We start from the raw sequence: 26,018 nt of genomic DNA on the forward strand, positions 1-26,018 counted from the left end.
CTCCTTCTCATCTTAGATATACAATCTTCCTCCTAAAGTATGGATTCTATGAGATCTAGCACCTAAAATTATGCCTAAAGGACTATGGGCCCACAGTTGAATACAAGGAGTTTTGGTTTATGGTCTTGGCTCTGCAAACCAACTGAATACCCTTGAATGGGTGGCTTAACCTCTCTGTGCTGAATTCCATCCTCTGCAAAATATTGATACGAATATCTAGTCCCTTTATCTGCCTACAAGTACTTTAAGGATAAAATGACACAAAAGGTGAGAGAATATTTTGATGAAGTTCACTAAAACTAGATAAATATGAGTTGCATTACATAAGGAATTACTAAACACCAAAATGTAAGGTGACACCTATAAGCTGGTCTTCCCCCCGCCCCCACCAGCTGTTGTCCAATTTGTTGCTTTCTCTGAGCTGGTGCCCAAACCCTTTCAGGTAAGCTGCTGGTATAGATGGTGAAATTTAGATCAAGCAGAGAATATTCAGAGGTAAATGGTAAATTAAATTTCAAAAGCAGGGTTATTGGTTTATCACATTCATCGGTAGCCACGCCATCACTTCCATTTTTTTCTCAAAAAACGCTGTTGGTGGCCGGGCGCAGTGGCTCACACCTGTAATCCCAGCACTTTGGGAGGCCAAGGCAGGCAGATCACGAGGTCAGGAGATTGAGAACATCCTGGCTAACACAGGTGAAACCCCGTCTCTACTAAAAATACAAAAAAAAATTAGCCGGGCGTGGTGGCGGGCGCCTGTGGTCCCAGCTACTCCGGAGGCTGAGGCAGGAGGATGGTGTGAACCCGGGAGGCGGAGCTTGCAGTGAGCCGAGATCGCGCCACTGCACTCCAGCCTGGGCGACAGAGCAAGACTCTGTCTCAAAAAACAAAACGAAACAAAAAAAACAAAAACGCTGTTGGTGACTTTCTCTAGTTTAAGAAACCGTTCCTTTAGTTTGGGGTCCACGGACACCCAAGAGATTTTTGAAGAGAATCTAGGGAACTTAGAAGGAAAAAAACCCATCTTTATTTTCATTAACCTCTGAATGTTAGCGGTTTCTTCAAATACGCATGTAGTCAAGAAACCTCTGAAATCTTAGCAGTTCCTGTGCTTGTATCAACAAAAGAAATTACAGATATTTTTATATCTGTTAACGTTGTGTAGATATCAAACACTGATCACTATTTTGAATTTATAGTGGATATGAGACTGACTGCTAGACTGTGTTCTTTAATATATAAAGAAGCACATATATTACATCACAATTATTAAAAACTTTTGGTAACTGTATGTAAATATAATTTTCATTTGTGATCCCAGGTTTTTGTTTTAAGCATTGACATAATTCTGAGAAAGGATCCATGAGGGGGTGGGGTGGTCCCCAACCCCCTGCTGTGCAGTTAGGAACCGGGCCACACAGCAGGAAGTGAGACGCCAGTGATCGAGCATTACCACATGACCGCCTGAGCTATGCCTCCTGTGAGATCAGGGCGGCATTAGATTTTCATAGGATCGCCAACCCTATTTCAAACTGCACATACGAGGGATCCAGGTTGTGCACTCCTTATGAGAAGCTAATGCCTAATGATCTCAGGTGGAACAGTTTCATCCTGAAACCAGCACCCTCCCGACCCTGTCCATGGAAAGATTGTCTTCCACGAAACCGGTCTCTGGTGCCAAAAAGGTTAGGAACCGCTGATCTATGGGACTATTGGGTCAGTTTCAATTCTCCTTCATTGGCCTTGGTACATGCAAGTCAATTCTGAGGCACAAGTAAGCTGAAAGTTGCAGCCATCCCTCAGACAGGAAAAAATAACCCGGCAGAAAGGAAGAGAACAGAACTGGTGTGTGCACCTCACAGAGGCCTAGAAAACGGTGGCGGCTGCTCCAAAACACCAGCTCCAAGGGCACCTAGGCTCAGATCGAAGCATTGCAGGTGGCAAAGAGGCTGGAGCATCCTGTGTACACACTCAGACTGATCCACCAGTGAAAGGAAGGGGTTAAAGAGGAGGAGCATGGAAAACTTCCAGGAGAGCTGACAAACTTAGCTGCAAAGTCAGGATAAAACAGTCCAAGAACCCCAACAAGGAACTACTGGAGGTGATGTCGGAGAGTTCCTCTCTCTCATAAAGATCAAAGATTTCTTGGGATTGTCTGCTGTGCACAAGCGTGGCCCGGCCCTGGGTCAACAAGAATGTCCCTCAACTGGAAAGAAAATAGAGGGATGAAGAATTCCAATTCTGGCACTGGTGCCACCAGCTCTACTGGTGCCAGCAGTCTGAGAACCTTGGTCTGGTATCCGCACCTCCTCCCAGGTGCTCTGGGAATGGGTAAGGGAACTAAGATGCTGTGGCCCTTAAGCTCTGCCGGTCAAATCAACCTATGATGAAGCTCTATAGCATTGTTAAGAAGCCCATTGTTTTGTACTTTAAAATTTGTTTTCCTCTAGTTTCCTAATAAAAAGTTTTTTTTTTTTTCCTAAATTGGCACCACTTTCTCAGCTCAAGAAGAACAGGGAGTTTCCACACCTGAGAAGTGTTAATGGGCATGACCTGAGAGGGCATTATAGGCAGAGGAAGAGGCACGTGTGTAAGGGCCCATTCCTGGGTCCAGGAAAAGACAGTAGCACTGGAGGCACTCAAAGAATGAGAATCTAAAAAGGGCAGGACTGGCTTCAGAATTTGGGGGACACAGTACAAAATAGAAATGTGGGGTAAGAATTTCAAAATGGCGGCAGCAGTACATTAAGCCAAGCACCAGGGACTTCTGAGCGTAAGGCCCAGTGCAGCTGCACAGCTGTGCACCTGTGAAGCCAGTCCTGGAGAGGCCAAATCGTCAGGGTCAGCCAAGGAAGTTGATCTTGGCCTATGTGGGTTTTCCCCTCAGATTTGAGCCAGTGCTCCATTACCTACACTCCATTTTCCTCACCATAAAGCTATTAACCATCTTCTGCTGATGATCTGGGAACTATATTTTATATAAAGCTTTGGCACCCACAGAAAAAACACATTAAAAAATACAAACACTTGTTACTTGCTAAGCATAATTCTGCTTCACAATGGAATCAAAGGTTTGTCATTTTTAACACAGAAAGCCATTGGGAGTGTGTAATGCCTCCCCTTTCAATATGCTATTGAACCTACTAATTTTTTTAGCCATTGTAATATGAATGACTTCTTAGAAAAATATTGTAGTAAGGCCAGGCTCACGCCTGTAATCCCAGCACTTTGGGAGGCCGAGGCGGGTAGATCACGAGGTCAGGAGATCAAGACCATTCTGGCCAACACGGTGAAACCCTGTCTCTACTAAAATACAAAAAATTAGCTGGGAGTGGTGGTGTGCACCTGTAACCCCAGCTACTCAGGAGGCTGAGGCAGGGGAATCGCTTGAACCTGGGAGGCGGGGGTTGCAGTAAGCCGAGATTGCACCACTGCACTCCAGCCTGGTGACAGAGCAAGACTCCGACTCAAAAAAAAAAAAAAAGAAAAGAAAAAGAAAAAGAAAAATATTTAAGTAGTGAAAAGCTGAGGAAAACTACTAACGTTCAGGATACAAATTCTCTTTATTGCCAGTGCCTTGGCCATGCAGGAGGAGGAAAAAGAGCAGATTGAATTTCTGTAATGAAATAATTTGAAAATTGGGGCAGGGAAAATTTTAATGTATATGACATTATTACGATATCTATGTTTAAATGTCTTCATGATGTAGGCTGGGTGCGGTGGCTCACGCCTGTAATCCCAGCACTTTGGGAGGCCGAGGTGGAAGGATTGCTTGAGCCCAGGAACTTGAGACCAGCCTGGGCAACATAGAGAGAACCTGTTTCTTAAAAAAAAAAAAGAAAAAAAGAGAAAAAACATCTACATGATGAAAAAGCTAGACAGCTGATTGAGACAGAATATAACTTTACCCTTATCTGGCGTATGGAACAAAGCCTTTAAAAGGCCTTAGGATTCTAGAGAAGAGTAGTGTTTAAATGAGGCGGCTTCTGAGCCAGCCAGTCTGAGTTCAAATCCTGCCTTTGGCTTTCGTTGTGTTTTCTTGGGGAAGTTATTTAATCCCTCTAGAATTCTCTCATCTGCAAAATGAGGAGAATAATGGTGCCACTGTCATAGGATTGTGTGAGGATTCGGGAAATACTACATGGAAAGCTTCCCAGTATATGGAAAGCACTCAGAAAGCACTTGCTGTTATTACTGCTATGGGTACAGCCATGATTGTTACTATCATTATTCTACAACCTGGCCCCTGCCTGGTTCCCAGCGTTATTTCCTGTCACTTTCTCTCATTTTACGCAAGTGCCTGCCAAGCTAAGCTACTCATTGCCCCCTGCGTTAACTCGAAGATTCTCTGCTTCCGTATTGTTCCCTGGCTGTGTGGAGGCTGAGTAACCACTTGGAGGGGATGTTGTAGAGGAAAATTCAAGCCACAGAAGGGAAACTGGGTTGAATGAGATCCCCTTTTACATTTCTTTTGGCTCTAAAGTTTCCATCGGATCAATAAAGCAAACAGGACAATTAGCAGCACGGCACTCAGCACTGAGCACAGGCGAGGGTGTTCTTTCACTCCTCTTTGCTTTCCTGCCACCCCCTGCTCGCCTTCCTCTTTGCACCATGTGGGTCCGCTCTGGGTGGGAGTCCTGGAGAAAGATACTTCAACTAAAGATAAGGCAGAGATAGGCCTCGGTGGAAAGACTTGGTAGACAGACCTGGGCATTTGATTAAGAGCAAATTGCTTAAATTCTCGGAGCCTCAATTTCTTTAGTAGTAAAATGGGGATATTAGTACTCACTCCATAGGGTAAGAATGGAATCAGATATTGTTTAAAAGGGCTTATAGCTGAGGTTACAAGATATAGCTAGTCTACTAAATATCCTTTCTCTTTTCATTTTCCTGTTATTCACAGGGGGGACTTAGGCTGTGTCTTTAAGGGGTTTTAGATTCCAATCAGTGGAAGGAGGGCTCTGCTGTGAGGGAGACCAGATGGAGACTGCAGGGGCCACAGGGGAACGTGGGGTGCAGGCAGGTGGGGCAGATGGTAGGAGGCCCTGAAACTCAGACAAAGGGATCTGGGCTTGAGAAAGCAAGAGCTGGGAGCTCAGCTTTGTTCCTGTTCTTCCGTTCCTCCCTCCTCTTCCTTCTTCTCTTCTTCTGGTAAGTTTTTGGCACAAAATTAAATAGGTTCAAACTAATAGAACTCATTTTCATGAATTCAGACTTCTAGCCAACTTCTCCATGGTTAGAAATAGCCACGACTCTATCCCAGGCCCGCCCTGGAAAGCAAAATAAAACTGCGTCCCCTGCCACCTTTTCCGGGTTCCACCAGACACAGGGTTGGAGGGGAACCGCCCTTCAACGCAGGCAATGTTGGCACATTTTTCATTGGGCGCTGTGGCCCGTGAGATGAGGAAGGCAGGACAGGCGCAAAGTGGACTCTACTTATCTTTCACCAGAGAGCCCCAAGGCCAGAGTGCACCATACAACCCGGAGTCACCCAAGGCCTTTTTTTTTGGGGGGGGGTCTCACTGGGAACAATGTCTGCACCCATTGTAAGCAGTTCCTTTGCCCCTGTGTGCCTCTGTCTTTTTAATTGGGATCGAAAACTGCTACCTCAATGGTAGTTGTGCCCGGCACATACTAACAGACTTATAAATGTAGCTGCCTGGGGCAGGGATGATCCTGGAACATTCTGACATCTAGAACATTAAGACTAAATGGATTTAATTATCTGGGGAGAAGAAAGCAAGACAATTAGAGTCACAGGTTCAACACCTGAGTTCAAGTACCTCCCTCATTTAAGAAAATCAATTCATGGAAGGCTGAGGCAGAGAATGGCTTGAATCCGGGAGGTGGAGGTTGCAGTGAGCCGAGATCACATCACTGCACTCCAGCCTGGGTGACAGAGCGAGACTGTCTCAAAAAAAGAAAAGAAAAGAAAATCAATTCAATGCAGTGGGAGAACTGTTATTGAGCAATTACTATCCACCAGACGCTGTGGAAAGCACAACTGCCTAGCTCCTCACACTCTTCCTGGTGATTCTCGGGTACAGACTAAGAGGATGTGGGGAGGACTTTTACATGCTCTTGGCATATATAACAGAGTGGCTACCAGCTGAGGTAACCCAATGATGGCTCTCTAAGCCTCAGTTTCCCCATCTGGAAATTTCTTATGGAAAGGCGGTGGGAAAGAAAGGAAAAAACAAATGTAAAACTTACGTTACAATGCCTGACTCTTAGAAAATATCAACCGACAGGAGTTGTCATGTTTTATTTGCTGTAAAACTACCAAAAGATCTTCTATCAACATTTTGTAAGTGAAAATAATAATATATATTCATATGTATTAATTATATAGAAATAATATATAATAATATATAAATGTCTCTATAGGAGAAATAATATCAAGACACCTAAAATTTTTAATTAATTCTAAACACTAAGACAATTATTTTATTATTTTTCCTCAACCTTCCATCCTAAATCATACGAATAATAACAATAGAAAGAGCTTACTAATTGTCATGCACTGTCCGAAGCATTTACTCCTCCCAACAACCCTGTGAGGTCGGTGTTGCAATGAACCCATTTTACAGATGAGAAAACTCCAGCACAGAAAGATTCATTCACATGGCCAGAGTCATGCAACTTTTAAGAATATTCCTTTGGTTTGCATTTCCTTGTATCTGCACCACCCTTCCCTTTCCTGTCTCTCTAGGTCTCCTGACCGGTTGGCAGGTCAGTCCCAATCATGGGAACTCTTTTCCTTTAAGCAGTCGTCTCTCTTTCTCTTCCTCTCTGTTTCCACCTGCCCTCCATCAGTGTCTCAGCACAGTGGAAGGCTGCTTGCTACCGCACTGGAAAACTTCTCCAGACATTTCCAAGTTTGCATTCGTCCATCTCCTTTGGAGAATTGCTTCAGTGAGGCCTAACCCTTTCTGAGGAAAGGCCCTTGGGAGAAGAAGCCAGGAGAAGGTAGTGGCACTCCTTTGTCATCAGGAGACATTGGGAGGAAAGAAATGATTTTCGACAGCAGCTGGGTGAGGGGAAACAGAATCACAGAACCTGCGGAAACGGTGTCGGTACAACGGCAGCTGCCAGCTAAACGGGCGAAAAGGCACCCTGCAAGATCTTTTCTGTGTTTCAACGATGAAGTAGACTCCCAACATGGAACAGGGGCGGGGGGGCTGTTACCAGACAGGTGACATTTGGTGCATGCACGAACAGGTCCAGTGCCCCATTCGGAGGCCAGGAAGGCAGCCACCCAGCAGAGCATTAACTAGGGGACCAGACGGTCACCTGCCCCTGCTCACCCCCACCTCCTTCCTCCCCAGGAAAAAGGAAGTCAAGTAGATGGAGAAACGGGGAAGTCCAAGCTGCTGGCAGTGGCATTCAAGGGTCTATATATAAGGTTGACTCTAATCCCCAGCGAGACAAAAGCCTGTGCCATAAAAATGATTAGCAAGGGGTTTCTAAAAACATTTCCCCAGGCCACGGAAAAGGAGAAGGAATATTTTGCACACTGCCTTGTCTCTTAGAAATAATCACAGCTAGGCCTCTTTATAACCGGCGAGTCTTTTTCCTTTCACACGCCATTTGCAGGCGCGTGGCATGGTATTTGTAACTAATTTTCAGTAGCAAGTGGGTCACTGGTATTCACAGAGTCAGGTGCCATTTTGAAAACTGCTTCCCTCTACCCGAATCTCTTATATTTCCAGATGCAGATGCACTTCAGCGATGTCCTAGTGCTGGAAACGCTCCCTTGAAAATATAATTTGATTTTTGAATTTCATCTTAAGACATTAGAGATAATGTAACTGTAGTCTTTGGAATTCAACGCTGGCCTCCTTAGCCATCACTTTTAAAATTTATGAAAATAAGGAAGAGGAAGGTAAAGAACTTCCTCATTGTCCGGCAGTAAAGTCAATGGCAGAGCTTGAGCTTGACTTATTTTGCTAAGAGGGAGGTGTTTTACCCTATAAACTCCAAATTACCTTACACCCAGCAAATACTACTGTTGAGTGCTCACAAAAATTATGCTGATGAAACAATATGGATGTTTCAGTGATGAAACTTTCTCTTTTAAAATCACTTAAGGGTGCTTTACGTCCCACCCAAGGCAAGAGGAACGCCAGCGAGGAAGACAAAGAGGCCCGGGGTGGGGCGCATGCCCGCCACTGGACTGAAAGCTGAGTCACAGGAATCGTACCCCTGCAGCGGGCCAGGCCCTCCAGGGAGGGACACCGCGCCCTTGTGTGGAGATGTCCACAGTAGACAAAGGCAGTTTCGAAATAAAAGAATGCCTGTCACCCCAGGTGCCACCCCGACCCTTAGTTATTATGCACTGGTCCCCAAGAGCAATTTCTGCGCTGCTGTTGCAAAAATTCATCGTAATGAAATAAACGTAAAAGGGGAAAATGTGTTATGAAGTGTTGGAGGGTGCTTTGCTCATTTTTTTCGCCATCGTTGTGGTTAGGGTGCATGCACTAGTGGACCCCGGGTGGGGGTGGGGCTCCCCTCCCCAAAAGCCCGGCAGGCCTCCGGATGCCGTTCCGAGACGCGGCGCGAAGGAGTTAAGCGGGCCGGCGGGTGACATCACCTCATTTACATAGGAGCGCCCATAAAGCTGCGCCCGCCGCACCCCGCCCGACAACTCGGTGGTGGCCACTGCGCAGACCAGACTTCGCTCGTACTCGTGCGCCTCGCTTCGGTGAGCCCCAGGGCCCCTGCCTCCTTCCTCCTGCCGTCCTGCCTCCGTCCCCGCCCTTTCATCATCCGCGTCCCTGTGAAGGCATTCCCTAAATCCGAGCCCGAGTGGTTCTCCCCGGGAAGGCTACTTTGGGGAGCTGGGGGGATGCGAAACACCCTAGATACTGGATAATGGGGTGGGGAAATCGATGATTTAAGAACAAAACCGAAAAACTGGCGTTTTGCCGTGCCGCTCGGAGGGGACATTAAAAAATTTCTTAGTGTTTGCCCGCAAAGGTATTGTGCGTTGCCTTGGAGGCTGAGATATGGGGGAATAGACAAGTCCTTTGTTCTGAGGTTCATCTTCCGAGCCCCGAGCCTCCTCCCAGCCTCGGACGGCTGCGCGGGCTGCATCTGTGCAGCCTGGCGGCGGCGGGGCTGTGCTATGACATCTTTACAGTCCTTCTTGCAGAGACATGTGTGCCAGGGATGCCGAATTGCCGGGAGAGCAGGCAAGACCGGCTTCGGGGCGCGCGGCGGCCGCTTTGTGTGCGGGGCTGCATTGTGACGCGGGCGATGAAGCCGGTAGGGCGGTGGTCGGAAGCTCCAGCCGCGGCCGCCGCCTTTGTGAGAGGACTAGAAAGCCGGATCCGGCCCGCATCCTTGCGGAGAGGCCGCGGCTAGGAAATGGAAACGCTTTTCCTACCTGGGCTCCATTTTAGGAATTCTTGCCGATTTTTCCCACTTGAATTTGGAAGTGGCTTTCCTCTTCTTTCCTTGTCCTAGCCAGCCTTTAATTTTAAACGCTGTAATTAACAATTCGCAGTGGTCAATTTCCTTTATTCTGCAAGATTCGGCTTTGAGAGGCATCCGCCCTCTTTGGTCCACAGCGTTTTGAAATATGGGGAGGAGGGGCGCGGGGGGTGTCGCCTCTTTTTCTGTAGAAAGAGGAAGCTCGTGAGCGCGGAACGGCAGCAGTAGGAGAGCGAGAAGGGTTTTTTTCAGGCTGCGGGTCGGAGGGCAGAAGTGCAGTTCCCAGCCCAGAGACAGCGGGGCGGGTGGCTCTTCCTCACGCTCGCTCTTGGCTTGCTCCCTGCAGCTTTTCCTCCGCAACCATGTCTGACAAACCCGATATGGCTGAGATCGAGAAATTCGATAAGTCGAAACTGAAGAAGACAGAGACGCAAGAGAAAAATCCACTGCCTTCCAAAGAAAGTGAGCTCCGACCCACCCCCATCTTTAGAAAGGCTGGGTGGGAGCGGCCGGTGGGAGGGCGGGAGGCTGGGAGCGGCCGCGGGAAGAATTCGGGAGGGGGGAGTGCGGGGGAAGAGCCGACAGTTGATGAATGTGGCTTGCAAAGGTTAATTAAAAATGGTTTTGCAGCCAACAAACACGGGGCTTTAGTAATTTAGTAATGGAATATTTAATATGCCATATTAATATACAAACATTTATCCATTAAAATGTATTTCTATTTAGTATATTCAATATACATATTTTATTCCATTGTGGAATACCGTGTAGAATGTTTATGATTTGAAAAGATGCTTTAAATGAAAGCCCTTTAGTCTGTACTGAATCCTTTAATCATCTCCCTCCATCTTTTTTTTTTTTTTTTTTCTGGTCACAGCGATTGAACAGGAGAAGCAAGCAGGCGAATCGTAATGAGGCGTGCGCCGCCAATATGCACTGTACATTCCACAAGCATTGCCTTCTTATTTTACTTCTTTTAGCTGTTTAACTTTGTAAGATGCAAAGAGGTTGGATCAAGTTTAAATGACTGTGCTGCCCCTTTCACATCAAAGAACTACTGACAACGAAGGCCGCGCCTGCCTTTCCCATCTGTCTATCTATCTGGCTGGCAGGGAAGGAAAGAACTTGCATGTTGGTGAAGGAAGAAGTGGGGTGGAAGAAGTGGGGTGGGACGACAGTGAAATCTAGAGTAAAACCAAGCTGGCCCAAGGTGTCCTGCAGGCTGTAATGCAGTTTAATCAGAGTGCCATTTTTTTTTTTGTTCAAATGATTTTAATTATTGGAATGCACAATTTTTTTAATATGCAAATAAAAAGTTTAAAAACTTAGCTGGTGTGTCTGTTTGGTTTCTGGAAGGATCGCGGATGAAACCTTTGCAAAGAGGCCTACCTCTTGGTCCATTGGGGAGGGACAAGCATCTGGTGACTGGATAAATTCCCTTATGGCATAGAAATGGGTTTCACCCAGGTATGCAAAATACCTTGTCTATACTAGGAGATCATTTTCTCAGGCTGATTGAATTCCTAGTATGAATTGTGTGAGAGCTTTAATAAAAATATCTTTGCAGTTCTTACGGGTTTTGATAAGCTGACATTGCACGTGCTCAAGAAAATGAAGGTGATAATTTACAGCACAGTATCTTATTTCAGGGTATCAAATTGAACTTGGTTATTTAACCAAGTGCTAGCATTAACATAGATGAGTAAAAATTACATTTTTAGCAGCTGCGTTAAGAAGGAATTTAGGACTTGAGCTTACTCATTTTCTAATGGCCGGTTTCTAATCAGAGTTCAATATTTACAATTGCTTTAATGAATACAGTTAAGATTAGTGAACATGATTTTAAATTTATTGGGTCCTCTTCATTTGAATAATCTTTGGATTTAAAAGATACTTATTCGATCTTTTGGGTTTAAAGGACACTAGCAGGACACAGGTGAGATTTGTACTAAGTTTAAATCCAGCGGGAATTAATTGACTCACATTTAGGTCTTTGAGTCCTTGATAACTTCTCAATCATCGGAAGTAGTTATTTTCACTGATGGGTAAAAGCAAAGTCCTTGGTGCGGGAAGACGGAAACAACGTCAATTTTTTAAGAGTTAAAAAAAGATTTGCCATTCTATAAGGTCCTTAATGGATTCCTCGGTTCTGTAGGGAAGGGTGGAGACTTTTTTTTTTAAATAAGCACCAGTTTTATTAAGCCGAAACAACAGCATTTAAGAAGGCTCTTAGTTCACTGAATGTTCTGCAAAGCTAAATTTTACAACGCAAATGTCCAAGAAGTTAAACATTTTTCTCTCAAAACCGATTTATGAAAATACCCTTTTTGAAGCGGAGGGGTAGGGAAAATTGTTGATCACTATTAAATTGGTTGCTTTCATTTCCTTTGCTCAACGCTTATTTTGAGAAATGCACAGGAAACCATTTACCTGTGGTTTAGACAATCAAGTAGACCATCAGGCTAGAAGCCTTGCTCTGCGTTGCAAGGGAAGGGGTGTGTACAGGCTGCTGCAGAGGCTGCTACAAAACCTGAAGCGCCACAGCCCGCTTAGCTCCGTGAAGAGAGGAGTAAGCACAAAGGTTCTGGAGCCATCTCAAGATGGAGACGGGCCTGGAGCCCTGTAGTTTTCTTGCCTATAGGGAAGGGTGTGGGCACAGTGCAAATGCCCAAGGCACAAAGAGAAACCATTCCCACGTGGGCTTTTGCTGTGTGCCTTTTTCAAACAATGCAAAGACGAAAGAAGATTTTAAGAAATTAACACAGCTCCAGTGTTCCTCAGTTGAAGAAGGAACATTTAGGAAAAGGGATAATTCATGGACTAAAAGACCTTTCTCCCCTAGAGGGACGAAGCTAAAACATAGCACAAAAAAAAAAAAGTAAAATGGTAATGATTGAATTCAGGCTGCTTGACGTGTGGAATGGGGAAATTCAGAAGCTTCTGCCCATATCACACTCTGTACACTTAACTGCTGCACACGGGGATGGGAGAGAATTTATTTTTTTAATTTTGATGGGGGATTCTTTGTTTTTCCCAAGAGAGATTCTTCCCAGAAGGGCTGGGGGTATTTATGAGTCAGTGTGGGGATATATGTTCCTGCTATGTAGGACTTGGGAGTCGACAGTATTTTTCACAGATACAAAGAGGACATTAGGTTTACCCTTAGAATGAGAGAACGTTGGGATTGAAGGAGACCCTATGACTGTTTCTCTTCCCCCCAGGACAAAACAGGCCAAGGTAGCTTAAGTAAGCCCCGAAGGTCACACAGTTTAGTCTGGGATTTCTGCAAATTTTGAATTGACCAAGACAAATAAAGCAAAAATAAAGGAAATAAAAAGAGACTCACTAAAGGACCTTTGAGATTGAGCTGGCTTCATTTTGAAATCTCGCAAATTTGTCAACCATCACAGCCACATTTGCAGCCTTCCAGTGGTTGGAATTTTAAAGCTATTTTATTCTTTCAGGAGAACAACACAGCTTTTGGGCTGTGTATGCAAAGATTGAGTGTGTATGGGGGGGAGGTGGGGTTCAAAATCTTCACAAACTTTGAGTCTCTCGGCTGTGTAAGAGACCCATTATAGTCAGAATCAGGTATTGTCTCCTTTAAATGCACAAGGAAGGTCTGTTTATTTTCCCCCAAAGAAGCATCTAATTCCTCAAGAGACAAAAAGAAAATATTTTTGCATTTTTTTTTTCTAAACATATGGGGTCAATTTTGTGCTAACGAGAAAGAACAGAGCGTTTTGGAGACAATATTACAGACAAAGAGTAAAAATAAAAAATCTTGAGTCTTTCTTTGTTCAAGAATGGAAACTTCAAACGTTGTTTAAAAACGTTGAAAGCACTCAATGCTTCATTTACCCTAGTAGCCTTCACTAGCCTAGCAAGAAAATAAGAAAAAACCACCCTCCGCACTCCACACTCCCCAAATCCTTTCTTTTCGATTACACTTTCAAGAGTGGCTTACACTGCAATCTAAGAGAATCAAACACACCAATTTGGGACTCAACTAGGTTTTCTCTGCATGTAATGAGAAGGGGTGAAATTACAAATGTAAGGCAGAGATATACAACAAAGCAAGCTAGGAAGAAAATATGTTTCTAAGACCTGTATTTACCTAGTTTATATTTTCCTTGGACACTTGCATAGCATTTTATTTCTGTAATCACATTGTCGTGCTAATACCATCTTTGCCCCTGGCTTCTGAGACTTTTGTAGGCAGGGCTGGTGCATGCCACATTCACTGTGTGCATACACCACGCACTCTTCCTTCTGTGCCTCAAAGCACACTTCTCCCCTTACTTGATGGAGACTTCATTTTTTTTTATTTTTATTTTTTTTGAGATGGGGTCTCTCTCTGTCACAGGCAGGAGGGCAGTGGCGCAATCTCGGCTCACTGCAACCTCCGCCTCCCAGGCTCAAGGGATCCTCCCACCTCAGCCTTCCGAGTAGCTGGGACCACAGGCATGCGCCACCATGCCTGGCTAATTTTTTTTTTTTTATTTTTTATTTCGCCATGTTGCCCAGGCTCGTCTCAAACTCCCGAGCTCAAGCAATCCAACTGCCTCAGCCTCCCAAAGAGCTGGGGTTACAGGTGTGAGCGACCACGCCCAGTCGAGACTTCATTTAACATGCTGGTTTGGGGGTCCCTTTGAACATGTGAATGTCATGTTAGACATCACAATTTTAAATATGTTTTTAACAAATATATTTAAAGAGCTTTGAACAGCAATTTGCCTGACTTTGGTTGTGCTGAGTTTTTTGTTTTTGTTTTTGTTTTTTGAGATGGAGTCTCACTCTGTCGCCAGGCTGGAGTGCAGTGGCACAATCTCGGCTCACTGCAACCTCCACCTCCTGGGTTCAAGCAATTCTCCTGCCTCAGCCTCCCAAGTAGCTGGGACTACAGACGCATGCTGCCATGCTGGGCTAATTTTTTTTTTTTTTCTGTATTTTAACAGAGACGGGGGTTTCACCATGTTGCCTAGGCTGGTCTCGAACTCCTGAGCTCAGGCAATCCGCCCGCCTCGGCCTCCCAAAGTGCTAGGATTACAGGCTTGAGCCAACGCGCCTGGCCGGCTGTGCTGATTTGAATCAATACTTATAGCCAACTCCATATTATGAAGCCAGAGCACTGGATCATTAGTTCACTCCACCAGTTCATGCCAGGTAATTCATTTGCCACAGAGACACGGTTGTAAATAAGATGTAGTCCCTGCCCTCCTGTGCCCTCCATTAGTTAAATGCATTTTTCATCTGACTCCAAGTGGAAAATACTAAGAAATTATTCTTTTCCATTTTTAGGGTACATGATGAGTCTAAGGGCTTTGGATTTCTAAATGAGGTTTAATACCTATTCTTTGCTTTACAGTGGCCATTTTTCCAAATGTATCTAGAATGATTAATTCAAATCCCTCCAAAAGTTCAATGGTGAGTGAATTTTGAAGGAAACTGATTCTTCACCTTGCAATCAAATATTCTATTAGCATAGAAAGATTGGGCATGATAACTCTTGCCTGTTATTTTTTGAGAATCCTTGCTGAGGAATGCCCAAGGTCTAAAAATGGACTGAATGAATAGCGTTTTGTTGTTGTTGTTGTTTTTCTGGGCAGGGTCTTGCTCTATTGCCCAGGCTGGAGTGCAGTGGCCCTATTATAGCTGCACTATAGCCTCAAACTCCTGGGCTCAAGTGATCCTCCCACCTCAGCCTCCTGAGTAGCTAGGACTACAGGCATGTGCCACCAGCCCTGGCTAATTTAAAAAAAATTTTTTTTTTTCTTTTTGTAGAGACAGAGTTTTGTTATGTTGTTCAGGCTGGTCTCAAGCTCATGGCCTCAAGTGATCCCCCTGCCTCCACCTCCCAAAGTGCTGGGATTACAGGTGTGAGCCACCACACCCAACCTGGATAGATAGCATTTTAAAATCTATCTTTTGCTAGGATTTTGTGGCTTAGATGTTGAATCTCCAGAGAAACACTTCTTACTGCTAAATCCTTCCCCTTCCTCTGTTTGCCTTCTCTTTCCAATTCAACTGTATGATTACTGGGGGCTGAAATGGTTGCTCAAATTTTGAAATCCCTCAGAGAACCAAGCAACATGATGACCACGTGTATCCATAAGCACAGCACCTGGCTGGCTGAGGGCTGGTCACATTTGTTTAGTAGGATTCCACAGTTTGGAACTTCAATGGAGGGGGACAATAATCTATTCAAAGCAGTTGGAGCTATTCCTGTCACGTTATTGTCAAACCACAGGAAATTATGCCTTTCCTCATTACCACATTGAGCGCTGTAAGTGGCTGATACCTTTGACCACACAGAGACTTTGTGATAGCATTTTCTTAATCTAGAAACAAAAATATTTCAAAAGATTAAAAAATATATATGGAATGCCACATGGTTGTTTCTACTTAAAATGACTTGCTTACTTGGAGGGTAGAGTCATTCTTTTTTTTTTTGAGGCAGGGTCTCACTCTGTCACCCAGGCTGTAGTGTAAGTGCAGTGGCACGATCATGGCTCATTGCAGCCTCGACCTCCCAGACTCAAGCAATCCTCCCACCTCAGCCTCCTGAGTAGCTGGGACCACAGGTGTGTACCACCATGCCTGGCTAATTAGAAAGAGTCATTCTTTACTCAACAAACGTTTACTGAGCACCTAGTGTCTGCCTGGCTCTTTCCAAGTTGCTGGAATAGGAAGTTGAATAAGGCCCGGGCCTACTCTTGGTCTATGGGAGAGGAAAACCTGTGCGAATGAACAGCCGTATCCGGCCTGAGCCAGATATCCATTCATTTATCCAACTACGATTCACCCAGCTTCTGTTTTTGCCAGGTAAGACACTGAGCCAGGAGATAGCCTGGAACCAGATTGTGAAGGGCCCCTGAGCCAGGCTAAGGAGTTTGAAAATTACCCTTAGGTAATTGGGAGATATTAGAAGTAAAATCATTTCATCCACATGAGGCAGTCTGTAGACCCTTCTTGTTTAGAAATGTAGCTATAGGGAAGGAGGGCGAAGAAGAGACTGTCCATACTTGTCACTGAAAAAGCATATTGACATCATCAGTGTTGCAGCAACGTCATACAAGAAGGTGCTAAATCTTACTTTTATTGGTATTTCTTGGTCCACATTTCGAAAAGATGGGCTTGTAACACCTCTATATTATGAACACTTCATGGTCATTTGGTATCAACTTTTATACTGGAGCGGAAAGAAGTTTAATCAATTTGAAATGGTTAAAATTACATTTTTGTGTGGAGATCTCTGAGGTTTGCAGTGCCTTGTACTAGGGTTTGTACATTAAAAGCTGGTCTTCAATCATGTATTATGTTCCTGGGGCAGCTGTAACCAATCCCTACAAACTTGGGGGCTGAAAACAACAGAAATATATGCTCTCATGTTTTGGAAGCCAGCAGCCCGATATCAAGGTGTCGGCAGAGCCGGATTCTCTCCAAAGGCTCAAGGAGAGAATCCTTCCTTGCATCTTTCAGCTTCCAGTGGCTCCAGGTATTCCTTGGTTTGTGACTGCGTCACTTCAATGTCCACTTCCATTTTCACGTCGCCTTCTCTGCGTCTGTGTCTTCTCCTCGTCTTTCTCTTATAGGGGCACTTCTCATTGGATTTAGGGCCCACCTGGGTCATCCAGGATGATCTCATCTCAAGATCCTTAATTACATCTGCAAAAAAAACTCTTTCCCAAGTAAGTTAGCATTCACAGGTTCCAGGGATTTGATATGGACAGATCTTTGGTGGGGGGAGGGCTGCTATTTAACCCACTATAAATCGTCATTAGTGGGTTGTCTAGTAGAGGCACTGTAGTGCGATGGTTGAAATGATCAGTCGGTCAGCACTGTGGGCAGGGACATTTTACCGAATGAGTGGGTCTGTGGAAGGAGAGAGGATAACTGAAGATTTTCGACATTAATCAGAACATTATCCAGTGATTTAAGGACCAATATGGAAAAACTTATAGGACCCATAAGTGGGTGAAGAGAAAGGGGTATGGAAGGAAGGAAAATGAAAGGTTTGTAATTGGTTATTTGTTTCCTGTGATTACAGGGATGAATAACACAGGTGGTCATGGCAGAAAACAGTTGTGCTTCCTCAAGAGCAGTGAAAAATACCATGTGGGAAAAGAAGTGCATATACTACCCTAAGTAATTAGAGAGGTCAGTCACAAAATTTAAAAGAAAAGAAAGTAAAAAAGAATATAATCTGAATGGGTTTTTTTTGAAGAAAGGATAGTAATTATATAACCCTGAATTTGTCATTTCAAATATCATTGATAACTTGAGCTAGGAAGGTGAGAGCACCGTGAGTTCATATATGCAAATGTAAATTCTCAAAGCCATACGTGCATGCCTAAGGCATTCCTCTAAGGTTCCACTGACTTTCTCTGTATAAGCTCCGTGTTATAACAGGTGTATAAATATACATGCAACATGCATCGAGAACAAACATATTGGCATCTAATGTTTGGAACCTTCCGCCTATCAGGGCTTCTTTTCTGAAATAAGTCATGAAGTTTCCCAACAGGAGAGATGGATACCAAAAATAAAATCCATTTAAGTCCTCAACCCATTCAAATAATAAATCCTTCAGATTAGAAAGAGGTGAGGTCAATTGAATCTAACATAGACATTAAGAACTATCTGCCCCAAAGAAGGCTACTCCACACTTTTGACCATATTCCTTTGAAACAGGGAGGATTCATGTTCTCTCTCCTCTCCTGGAAGCTGACAGATACCCATGTATGATGTTGACATTTATGTATGTCTAGAATGCCTAAGGCATTTGGCTTGGCCAAGGCCGGTTGTGACTTGGCCCCCTGCCACCATTCTTTGTACCACAGGTGTTTCCAAGTAGGATCTCATTCGAGTTGGGAGGGTGAGTTAGGGCTTTAGACCACAGGAGCAGCTGAGGGAAAACTGTAAGGGGCCAGGCTTAGCCAAGAAAAGAAGGCTGAGAAAGATCCAAACCAGACAGCTGGCTACCATTCTAACCTCTATCCCCACCCCAGCGCTACCACACTTCAGGCCACACCCTACCCAGAGTGTGGTTTTCAAACCACAGGCTGTGTCGTAGGAAATCAATTTATTGATTCTTGCCAGCATTGAAAACAAAAATTAAAAAAAAAAAAAGACAAAATAAATCACTAAAAAGAAATCAAGCAAGAATTTTCAGAACTCCCCAGCATGGTAAGGGTAACTATTGTTTATCAAACTTCTGTTTGAGTTATTTATGAGGGGGAGAGATGACTGATCTGTGATGTACAATGTTTCTTTCAGTGTGAGTCAGACTCACACTTGTCAAGACTTCCATCCCCCAGCCTCCTGCCTGCTTATGGCCTCAATTCCTTTCTTTTCTCTGTCTAGCTTCGACTCCTAATCACTCACTTCAGATTGATTTTAAACCCTTTCCTCCCCATGTCCAGCTGAAGTCTTCCTTCATGCCCCAGTCCTGAATCCACTCCAAGAACCTGTTTGCCATTTTTTCACCCAGGCTCCCAAGTACTAACAGATAAAATATACACTTTGCCATGCTGTCACCTCAAAATTTGTCACTTGTTCCTGGTCAACTTACTATTAGCTGTGCCACCTTCAGAAACTTCGTAACTTCTATGAGCTTCACTCTTCTCACCTGCCTAATGTGGAAGGGGATGGCCATGACACATGGGGTTGCTGTGAGAGTTGAAGGAAATATGTACATTGTAGGTGCTCAGTATATGGTCTCCTTTATTATTACAACAGCCTCTTAGTTCACAAATCAATGCACTATTATTACATGAAATACTTCTTGACCTCTTTGTAGCCTTGTGTGTGTGTGTGTGTGTATGTGTGTGTGTGTGTGTGTGTGTGTGTGTGACAGGGTCTCACTCTGTCACTCAGGCTGGAGTGCAGTGGTGCAATCTTGGTTCATTGCAGCCTCTCCAACTCCCAGGCTCAGATGATCCTCCTGCCTCAGCCTCCCAAGTAGCTGGGACTACAGGTACATGCCACCATACCCCAGCTAATTTTTTCTCTGGGTAGCTGTGATGGTTAATACTGAGTGTCAACTTGATTGGATTGAAGGATGCAAAGTATTGATCCTGGGTGTGTCTGTGAGGGTGTTGCCAAAAAAGATTAACATTTGAGTCAGTGGGCTGGGAAAGGCAGACCCACCCTTAATCTGGGTGGGCACCTTTAATCAGCTGCCAGCATGGCTAGAATATAAAGCAGGCAGAAAAACATGAGAAGACTAGACTGGCCTAGCCTCCCAGCCTACATCTTTCTTCTGTGCTGGATGCTTCCTGCCCTCGAACATCAGACTCCAGGTTCTTCAGTTTTGGGACTTGGACTGGCTTTCCTTGCTCCTCAGCTTGCAGATGGCCTACTGTGGGACATTGTGATTATGTGAGTTAATACTTAATAAACTCAGTTCTGTCCCTCTAGAGAACCCTGACTAATAAAGTAGCTTTTGACAATGCTGACCACACTCTACTTTCTGAAACCCTCTCCTCTCTCACCATTTTTAGTCTCTGGCTTCTCTATTCCACCAACATCTCTGATTGCCTTTTCTCTCTTACCCCGTAAGTGTTGTTGCTCCCTGGTTTGAATCTTTTGCTTACCTCTTTTGGTGTCTGACTTCACTCTACAGACTAGAGGCTAGGTCTTTAGTTTCTAGATTTCTTTTGAGTTCTGAGCTTCACCTCGTCTTATCTCTGCAAACAGAAACCCCAGATAGCTGCTCATTCCTGCTCCAACTCTTGCTTCTGTTTCAGGGCCCAGTGTCTCAGCAAAGACTTAGAACATGGTGCTACTTTCTTCCTCTCCCAAGAAGTCATGTGAGTCACTGTGTTAACTTTAAAAAAAAATCGTAATTTCAAATTTACAGAAGAGTTGCAAGAATAGTTAAAAGAATTCCCTATATCCTTTACTCAGATTCACTAATTGTTAACATTTTACCACATTTACTTTCTCTCTCACCTCTTTTTTTTCTGAACCATTTTCTGAACCCTTTGAAGGTCCCTCAGCTTATATTTCCTAAGAACAAGAATATTATCTTACATAACCACAGTGCAATGATTAAATTCAGGAATTTTAACATCAATGCTGTGATATTGTTATCTAACATAAAGTCCATATTTAAATGTTGCCAGTTGCTCCATTGTCCTTTACAGCCCTTTTCTTCCTCCTCATCTGGGATCCAATCCAGGATCATGCATCACATTGAGCTGTCATGTCTCTTTAACCAGGAACAATTCCTCAGCTGCTCTTTTTCTTTCAAGACAGTCACATTTTTGAAGAATATGAACCAACTGGTTTGTAGAATTTCTATCATTTTGGGTTTGCCTGTTGTTTTTTTCATGATTAGAGTCAGATAATTCGGGGTAGGAAAACCGATAAAGGATGTTGTGTCCTTCCTGGTGCCTCACATCAGGACGCACGTGATGCCGATTTGTCCCATTCATTGATAACTTGGATCACTTGTCTAGATGGTTGCCACCAGATTTCTGCATTGTAAGGCTATCATTTTTCCCACTGTAATTAGTAAGTAACCTGGGGGAGGATAGTTGGAGGCTCAGGCTCAAGTCTCCTGTTCTTCCTCAAACTTCCACCAAGTAGTTTTGGCACTTATTGATGATTCCTGCCTGAATTGATTTTTTCTATGATGTCAGCAAAAACGGTGAATTTATGACACTATCATTTCTTTTTTTTTTTTTTTTTTGAGACGGAGTTTCACTTTGTCACCCAGGCTGGAGTGCAATGGCGTGATCTCGGCTCACTGCAACCTCCGCCCCTCAGGTTCAAGCAATTATCCTGCCTCAGCCTCCTAGGTAGCTGGGACTACAGGTGTGTGCCACCACGCCCTGCTAATTTTTGTAGTTTTATTAGAGATGGGGTTTCACCATGTTGGCCAGGCTGATCTTGAACCCCTGACCTCAGGTGATCCGCCTGCATTGGCTTCCCAAAGTGCTGGGATTATAGGCATGAACTACTGCGCCTGGCCCCTATCATTTCTTCTAATGTGACTTACCATTTTCTTATGTTCTAACCTGTATGTATAAACCAACAAAAATGCAATTTCAAAATTTATATGCTAACAATAATAAAAATAACAGTAGCTTCTATATGTTGGCCCATGGGCTTGTCCTGCCTGACTAGACACAACATTATAGAGGTGCAATGTTGCAAGGAACATTTTCAAAGACTTTGAGAATGTGGCTGATGCAAGCTTGTGCTGTCATTTCAGTCTTTAAGAGTCGGCTTAGGGCTTGTTTGCAACTGACATCCTCGTGTGTTATGGCTGTGATTTTAAAAGAGAATAGAGATACATGTATGTAAACCACATTCATGTTCAGTTCATACTAGATCTTTAACATTAATTTTGATTGACCAAAAATATTATTCAGTTCTCGTAATCTGGCAGAGAAATGTCTGTCATTAGTTCTGTGGGGCTACAACAAAGGCTTGAGGTGTCGAGGAATCAGGCAGAGGCAAATCCTTTTCAGGTTCCTGCTAGATAACAGATGTTTGCATTATAAAGGAAAACTAAACACAACTGGAATAATTGGGCGCGGCATTCAGAACTGTCACTTCTGCAAGTGCACCATAGGAAGAAGGCCTCTGCTCTTCCTCTGAGAATCAAGAGGTGGTCTCAAAATTGCGAGCTTGGCCAAGCGTGGTGGCTCACACTTGTAATCCCAGCACTTTGGGAGGCTGAGGCAGACAGATCACCTGAGGTCAGGAGTTTGAGACCAGCCTGAGCAACATGGAGAAACCCTGTCTCTACTAAAAATACAAAATTAGCCGGGCATGGTGGTGCACAACTGTAATCCCAACTACTCGGGAAGCTGAGGGAGGAGAATCGCTTGAACCTGGGAGTTGGAGGTTGCAGTGAGCCGAGGTTGCAGCATTGCACTCCAGCCTGGGCAAAAAGAGTGAAACTCCATCTAAAAAAAAAAAAAAAATTGCGAGATTGATTTTGGTCAGGTGCCTACGTTTCCGTAAGCCTTAAACAAACATCACCCATTCTACTGGTCAAACACACCTTCCTAACACCAGCGTGAGAGGAATGAAAAGGTAGAGCGCTTCAAGGGTGTCTGGCCCTCTTCCATTTTCTACCTGGAAAAAATATCTTCATCCACGTACTGCTGTTTGCTTATAACAATTGTGCCCTGTATTATCTGAGTCTCGAGGCCAGTGCTAACACAGCTGCATACCTGAACAATGACTCACCCCTAAAGTCATTTTCAAGACACCCTGACCATGAGTTTGTTATGGAAATAAAGAAAAAGTTTATGATTTCAGGGAGACTTGTCCTCCAAAGAGGCAGAGTCCTCAATATGTAATAATAATTAATAGAAATTTCTCTTGTGTTTTTTTAGGGTGGAGCAGCAGATGATCTTTTTAAAGTGTTTTTAATTGTTAAACTTTTTGGAACACATCCATTTATGTGGTTCAAATATCAAAAGAATATGAAAAATACAGTCCCATTCGACTGATTGCCCTCACTCTCTTGGGATAATGCTTTTTATTAGTTTCTTGTTTAACCTCCGATATATATGCAAAAACAAATATATAGTTGTAATGTCCCCTCCTCTTACACAGTTGGTATTATAAATCATCTTCCTAATATAATATTCTTAAACTTAACATTGTTATTACAAGAATAATGCATATTTATTTGTTTCAAATAAATCAAACAGTATAGAATGGACTGAAAGAGAAAGGGAAAGTTCCTCTTTCAACTCATTTTCCAGAGATAGCTACTGTGAACAGTTTTATGTGAATCATTCCAGATGTTTTCTAATAATAGTGTTAGTGGCAAGAGCTGCTTGTGAAAGTTTTTGGAAAATTGAGAGCCGGTTGTTAAACGAAGTCACTATTAAATGATATAAACTTACAATAAAATAAATTATATGAAAAGTAAAGGTAATAAATGCTTAAAATGCATCACCGCCTAATTATTTTACACATTTTACTATTACTATGCTCTTAGGGTTACTTACATCTACTATATCTGTATGGTGGAAATACTATAAAATGCTGGCTGCAGGCATCTCTTCCCAACTCCTCTTGACGACTTTACACCTCTACTGATGCTATGGTTTAAATGTTTGTCCCCTCTAAAACTCATGTTGAAACTTAATCCCCAATGTGGCGGAATTGAGAGGAGGGGCCATTAAGAATTGATTGAATCATAGGGCCCTACCCTCAAGAACGGACTAATTCATTCACAGATTAATGAATTAATGGGTTGTGATGTGAGGGGACTGGTGGCTTTATAAGAAGAGGAAGAGAGACCTCAGCTAGCATGCTCAGCCCCCTTGCCATGTGATGCCCTGTACCGCCTCAGGACTCTGCAGAGAGTCCCCACTGACAAGAAGGCCCTCACCCCAGATGTGGCCCTTCAACCTGGGACCAGCCTCCATAACTGTAAGAAATAAATTCTGTCCGGGCATGGTGGCTCATGCCTGTAATCCCAGTGCTTTGGGAGGAAAAGGTGGGAGGATTACTGGAGGCTAGGAGTTGGAGACCAGCCTAAGCAACACAGCAAGATCCCGTTTCTAAAAAAAAAAAAAAAAAAAAAAAAAATTTTAATTAGCTGGGCATGATGGCATGCACCAGTGGTCCTAGCTACTCAGGAGGCTGAGCCCAGTAGTTTGAGGGTGCAGTGAGCTATCATGCACCACTGCATTCCAGCCTGAGTGACAGAGAGAGACCCTGTATCTAAGGAATAATAATAGCAAATAAATAGAAAAAAATCATTTTCTCTATAAATTATCCAGTTTCAAGTATTCTGTCATAAGCCACAGAAAATGGGCTAAGACAATTGACATAGTATATAAAATATAACCCCCCAAAATGACTCAAAAATAAGAAACGTAAAGGTGCAACTAAAATGCCAATACAATACTTTTAAATTTAAAGAAAATTAGCATTACAGTAAATGGCATTGCTTAGTCAGGAAAAAACGTGGCTAACTCTCATGGATGTACAAATGCCCTTTTCCTTTTTTTATTCAAATACCCAAGTAGACAAGACCTGTCTTCCCTCATCCTGGAAAGCCCCCTCTTTGATTTGACAAATATTCTATGTAGATGCTCTCTCCTCTAGGAGGGAGAGATTAATCTCCCCAACATTCACACTTGAAGGCGGGCTAGATTTAGTAACTTACTGACAAAAATCCTTGTATGGAACCAGAAGGGAAAAACAGTAATATTACAGTAGAGAAATTTGGCAAACACCCCTTTAACTAACTGATGAAGACTAACATCACGAGTGATGTCATGCAGACATCATGTACCCTCCAATATGTTGTGATGAGAAGGGCACTTCACTGACTCCAAAAACCCATATCCCCAGTGTACAAGAGGAAAAGTTTCCTCAGTGCTCCTAGGGTTCATGGCTAGGTCTGAAATAAAACTGACAAAGACAGATTAACAGGAAAAAACGTACACATTTATTTAATCAAAGTTTTACGTGACACAAGAGCCTTCAGAAATGAAGAGCCAAAGACCCAGGGAAAACTTTCCATTTCATGCTTAGGTTCAACGAAGAATGGACAGCCATGCAGCAATGTGATTGGACAAAAGGGTATCATCTAATGGTAACAGACTAAGGTGGGAAACCCAGTAAGGCCTCTCTATTCCAATTCTTCTTGGTCTCTCTGTGTAGCTTTCCTTCCTCCTGAGTATGGAGCAGGACCCCTCTGGAGTGAGGGTCTTATGACCTACAGTCAGACAAGGTAGGTCAGAGAATTTCTTTATGATCAGCTCCTACACAGAAAGGCGAAGACATTTAATACTTCCAGGCTCTGTGGCTTGATCTGAAGAACAGGAGTTCTAGTTTCTATGGCTTCCTTTGGGGGAGAAAGAGGAACAGGAGAAAGAAGAGTAGGAGAAGGTCAGAGAGAGATCTTGTTTCTGAGGCCCTGTCAATCTCCTTCAGTTCAAAGTATTCGTTGTGACAAGGCACCATATTTTGCGGTATTGTGTCTGAGCTCTGACATCAGTCTAATGGAGAAAACATCAGGCAAACCCAAATTGAGGGACATTCTACAATATAGCTTACTGGTACTGCTGAAAATTGTCAAGGTCATGAAAAGACAAAAAAAAAAAAAAAAACTCACAGAGGAGAGAAGACCAAGGGGACATGACAACTAAATGCAATGTGCTATTCTATGAACAGCAAGAACAGAACAGAGAGAAGAAAGAAGTATTTAAGGAAGATATTTAACAGAAAATCTGATGAAATTGGAATAAAGTCTTGAGTTTTGTTAATAATTTCATACTTTTTTTTTTTTTTTTTGAGACAGGGTCTTACTCTGTTGCCCAGACCGTAGTGCAGTGGCACAATCTTGGCTCACCCACAACCTCCACCTCCCAGGATCAAGCGATTCTCCTGCCTCAGCCTCCCGAGTAGCTGGGACTACAGGCATGCACCACCATGCCCAGCTAATTTGTGTACTTTTAGTAGAGACAGGGTTTCACCATGTTGGCCAGGCTGGTCTTGAACTCCTGACCTGAAACGATCCACCTTCTTCGACCTCCCAAAGTGTTGGGATTACAGGCATGAGCCAATGAGCCCAGCCAACAATTTTGTACTAT

At 43.6% G+C, this 26,018-nt stretch overlaps 1 protein-coding gene across 1 annotated transcript, besides 12 other annotated features; it reads left to right on the top strand.

The window, feature by feature from the left end:
- Positions 7,083–7,152: an enhancer, noted in NCBI's record as "active region_29420". NCBI's record gives its function as "activates an Ori minimal core promoter by ATAC-STARR-seq in GM12878 lymphoblastoid cells {active_cell/tissue: GM12878}" and the evidence as "EXISTENCE:reporter gene assay evidence [ECO:0000049][PMID:35858748]".
- Positions 7,163–7,422: an enhancer, noted in NCBI's record as "active region_29421". NCBI's record gives its function as "activates an Ori minimal core promoter by ATAC-STARR-seq in GM12878 lymphoblastoid cells {active_cell/tissue: GM12878}" and the evidence as "EXISTENCE:reporter gene assay evidence [ECO:0000049][PMID:35858748]".
- Positions 7,443–7,562: an enhancer, noted in NCBI's record as "active region_29422". NCBI's record gives its function as "activates an Ori minimal core promoter by ATAC-STARR-seq in GM12878 lymphoblastoid cells {active_cell/tissue: GM12878}" and the evidence as "EXISTENCE:reporter gene assay evidence [ECO:0000049][PMID:35858748]".
- Positions 7,686–8,525: an enhancer, noted in NCBI's record as "H3K27ac hESC enhancer chrX:12992269-12993108 (GRCh37/hg19 assembly coordinates)". NCBI's record gives its function as "activates a minimal SCP1, AML or CMV promoter by ChIP-STARR-seq in primed H9 embryonic stem cells {active_cell/tissue: H9 hESC(primed)}" and the evidence as "EXISTENCE:reporter gene assay evidence [ECO:0000049][PMID:30033119]".
- TMSB4X (thymosin beta 4 X-linked) lies at positions 8,646–10,759 on the top strand. Its single transcript, NM_021109.4, has 3 exons — positions 8,646–8,704; positions 9,782–9,897; positions 10,313–10,759. Exons 2-3 carry the CDS (start codon positions 9,798–9,800, stop codon positions 10,345–10,347), a joined length of 135 nt encoding a protein of 44 aa, NP_066932.1. The 5' UTR covers positions 8,646–8,704; positions 9,782–9,797; the 3' UTR covers positions 10,348–10,759.
- Positions 9,365–10,203: an enhancer, noted in NCBI's record as "H3K27ac hESC enhancer chrX:12993948-12994786 (GRCh37/hg19 assembly coordinates)". NCBI's record gives its function as "activates a minimal SCP1, AML or CMV promoter by ChIP-STARR-seq in naive H9 embryonic stem cells {active_cell/tissue: H9 hESC(naive)}" and the evidence as "EXISTENCE:reporter gene assay evidence [ECO:0000049][PMID:30033119]".
- Positions 11,339–11,458: an enhancer, noted in NCBI's record as "active region_29423". NCBI's record gives its function as "activates an Ori minimal core promoter by ATAC-STARR-seq in GM12878 lymphoblastoid cells {active_cell/tissue: GM12878}" and the evidence as "EXISTENCE:reporter gene assay evidence [ECO:0000049][PMID:35858748]".
- Positions 11,812–12,104: a transcriptional cis regulatory region, noted in NCBI's record as "candidate enhancer chrX.239 targeted for multiplex CRISPR interference". NCBI's record gives its function as "positively regulates TMSB4X gene expression with high confidence in K562 cells {active_cell/tissue: K562}" and the evidence as "EXISTENCE:mutant phenotype evidence [ECO:0000015][PMID:30612741]".
- Positions 13,059–13,118: an enhancer, noted in NCBI's record as "active region_29424". NCBI's record gives its function as "activates an Ori minimal core promoter by ATAC-STARR-seq in GM12878 lymphoblastoid cells {active_cell/tissue: GM12878}" and the evidence as "EXISTENCE:reporter gene assay evidence [ECO:0000049][PMID:35858748]".
- Positions 18,133–18,312: an enhancer, noted in NCBI's record as "active region_29425". NCBI's record gives its function as "activates an Ori minimal core promoter by ATAC-STARR-seq in GM12878 lymphoblastoid cells {active_cell/tissue: GM12878}" and the evidence as "EXISTENCE:reporter gene assay evidence [ECO:0000049][PMID:35858748]".
- Positions 18,133–18,898: a biological region, named in NCBI's record as "CRISPRi-validated cis-regulatory element chrX.240". NCBI's record gives its function as "regulatory_interactions: TMSB4X".
- Positions 18,237–18,898: a transcriptional cis regulatory region, noted in NCBI's record as "candidate enhancer chrX.240 targeted for multiplex CRISPR interference". NCBI's record gives its function as "positively regulates TMSB4X gene expression in K562 cells {active_cell/tissue: K562}" and the evidence as "EXISTENCE:mutant phenotype evidence [ECO:0000015][PMID:30612741]".
- Positions 20,717–20,913: a silencer, noted in NCBI's record as "fragment chrX:13005300-13005496 (GRCh37/hg19 assembly coordinates)". NCBI's record gives its function as "represses an EF-1alpha promoter that drives an FKBP-Casp9 reporter gene in an ReSE screen in HepG2 liver carcinoma cells {active_cell/tissue: HepG2}" and the evidence as "EXISTENCE:reporter gene assay evidence [ECO:0000049][PMID:32094911]".

The sequence above is a fragment of the Homo sapiens genome, chromosome X (assembly GCF_000001405.40).
Source record: "Homo sapiens chromosome X, GRCh38.p14 Primary Assembly".
NCBI lineage: Eukaryota > Metazoa > Chordata > Mammalia > Primates > Hominidae > Homo > Homo sapiens.

Bases quoted from the DNA above. Each gene is read 5' to 3' on its own strand.
- TMSB4X (NM_021109.4), top strand. From the start codon at position 9,798: ATGTCTGACAAACCCGATATGGCTGAGATCGAGAAATTCGATAAGTCG. The intron at 9,898-10,312 runs GTGAGCTCCGAC...TTCTGGTCACAG, and splicing joins TCCACTGCCTTCCAAAGAAA to CGATTGAACAGGAGAAGCAA.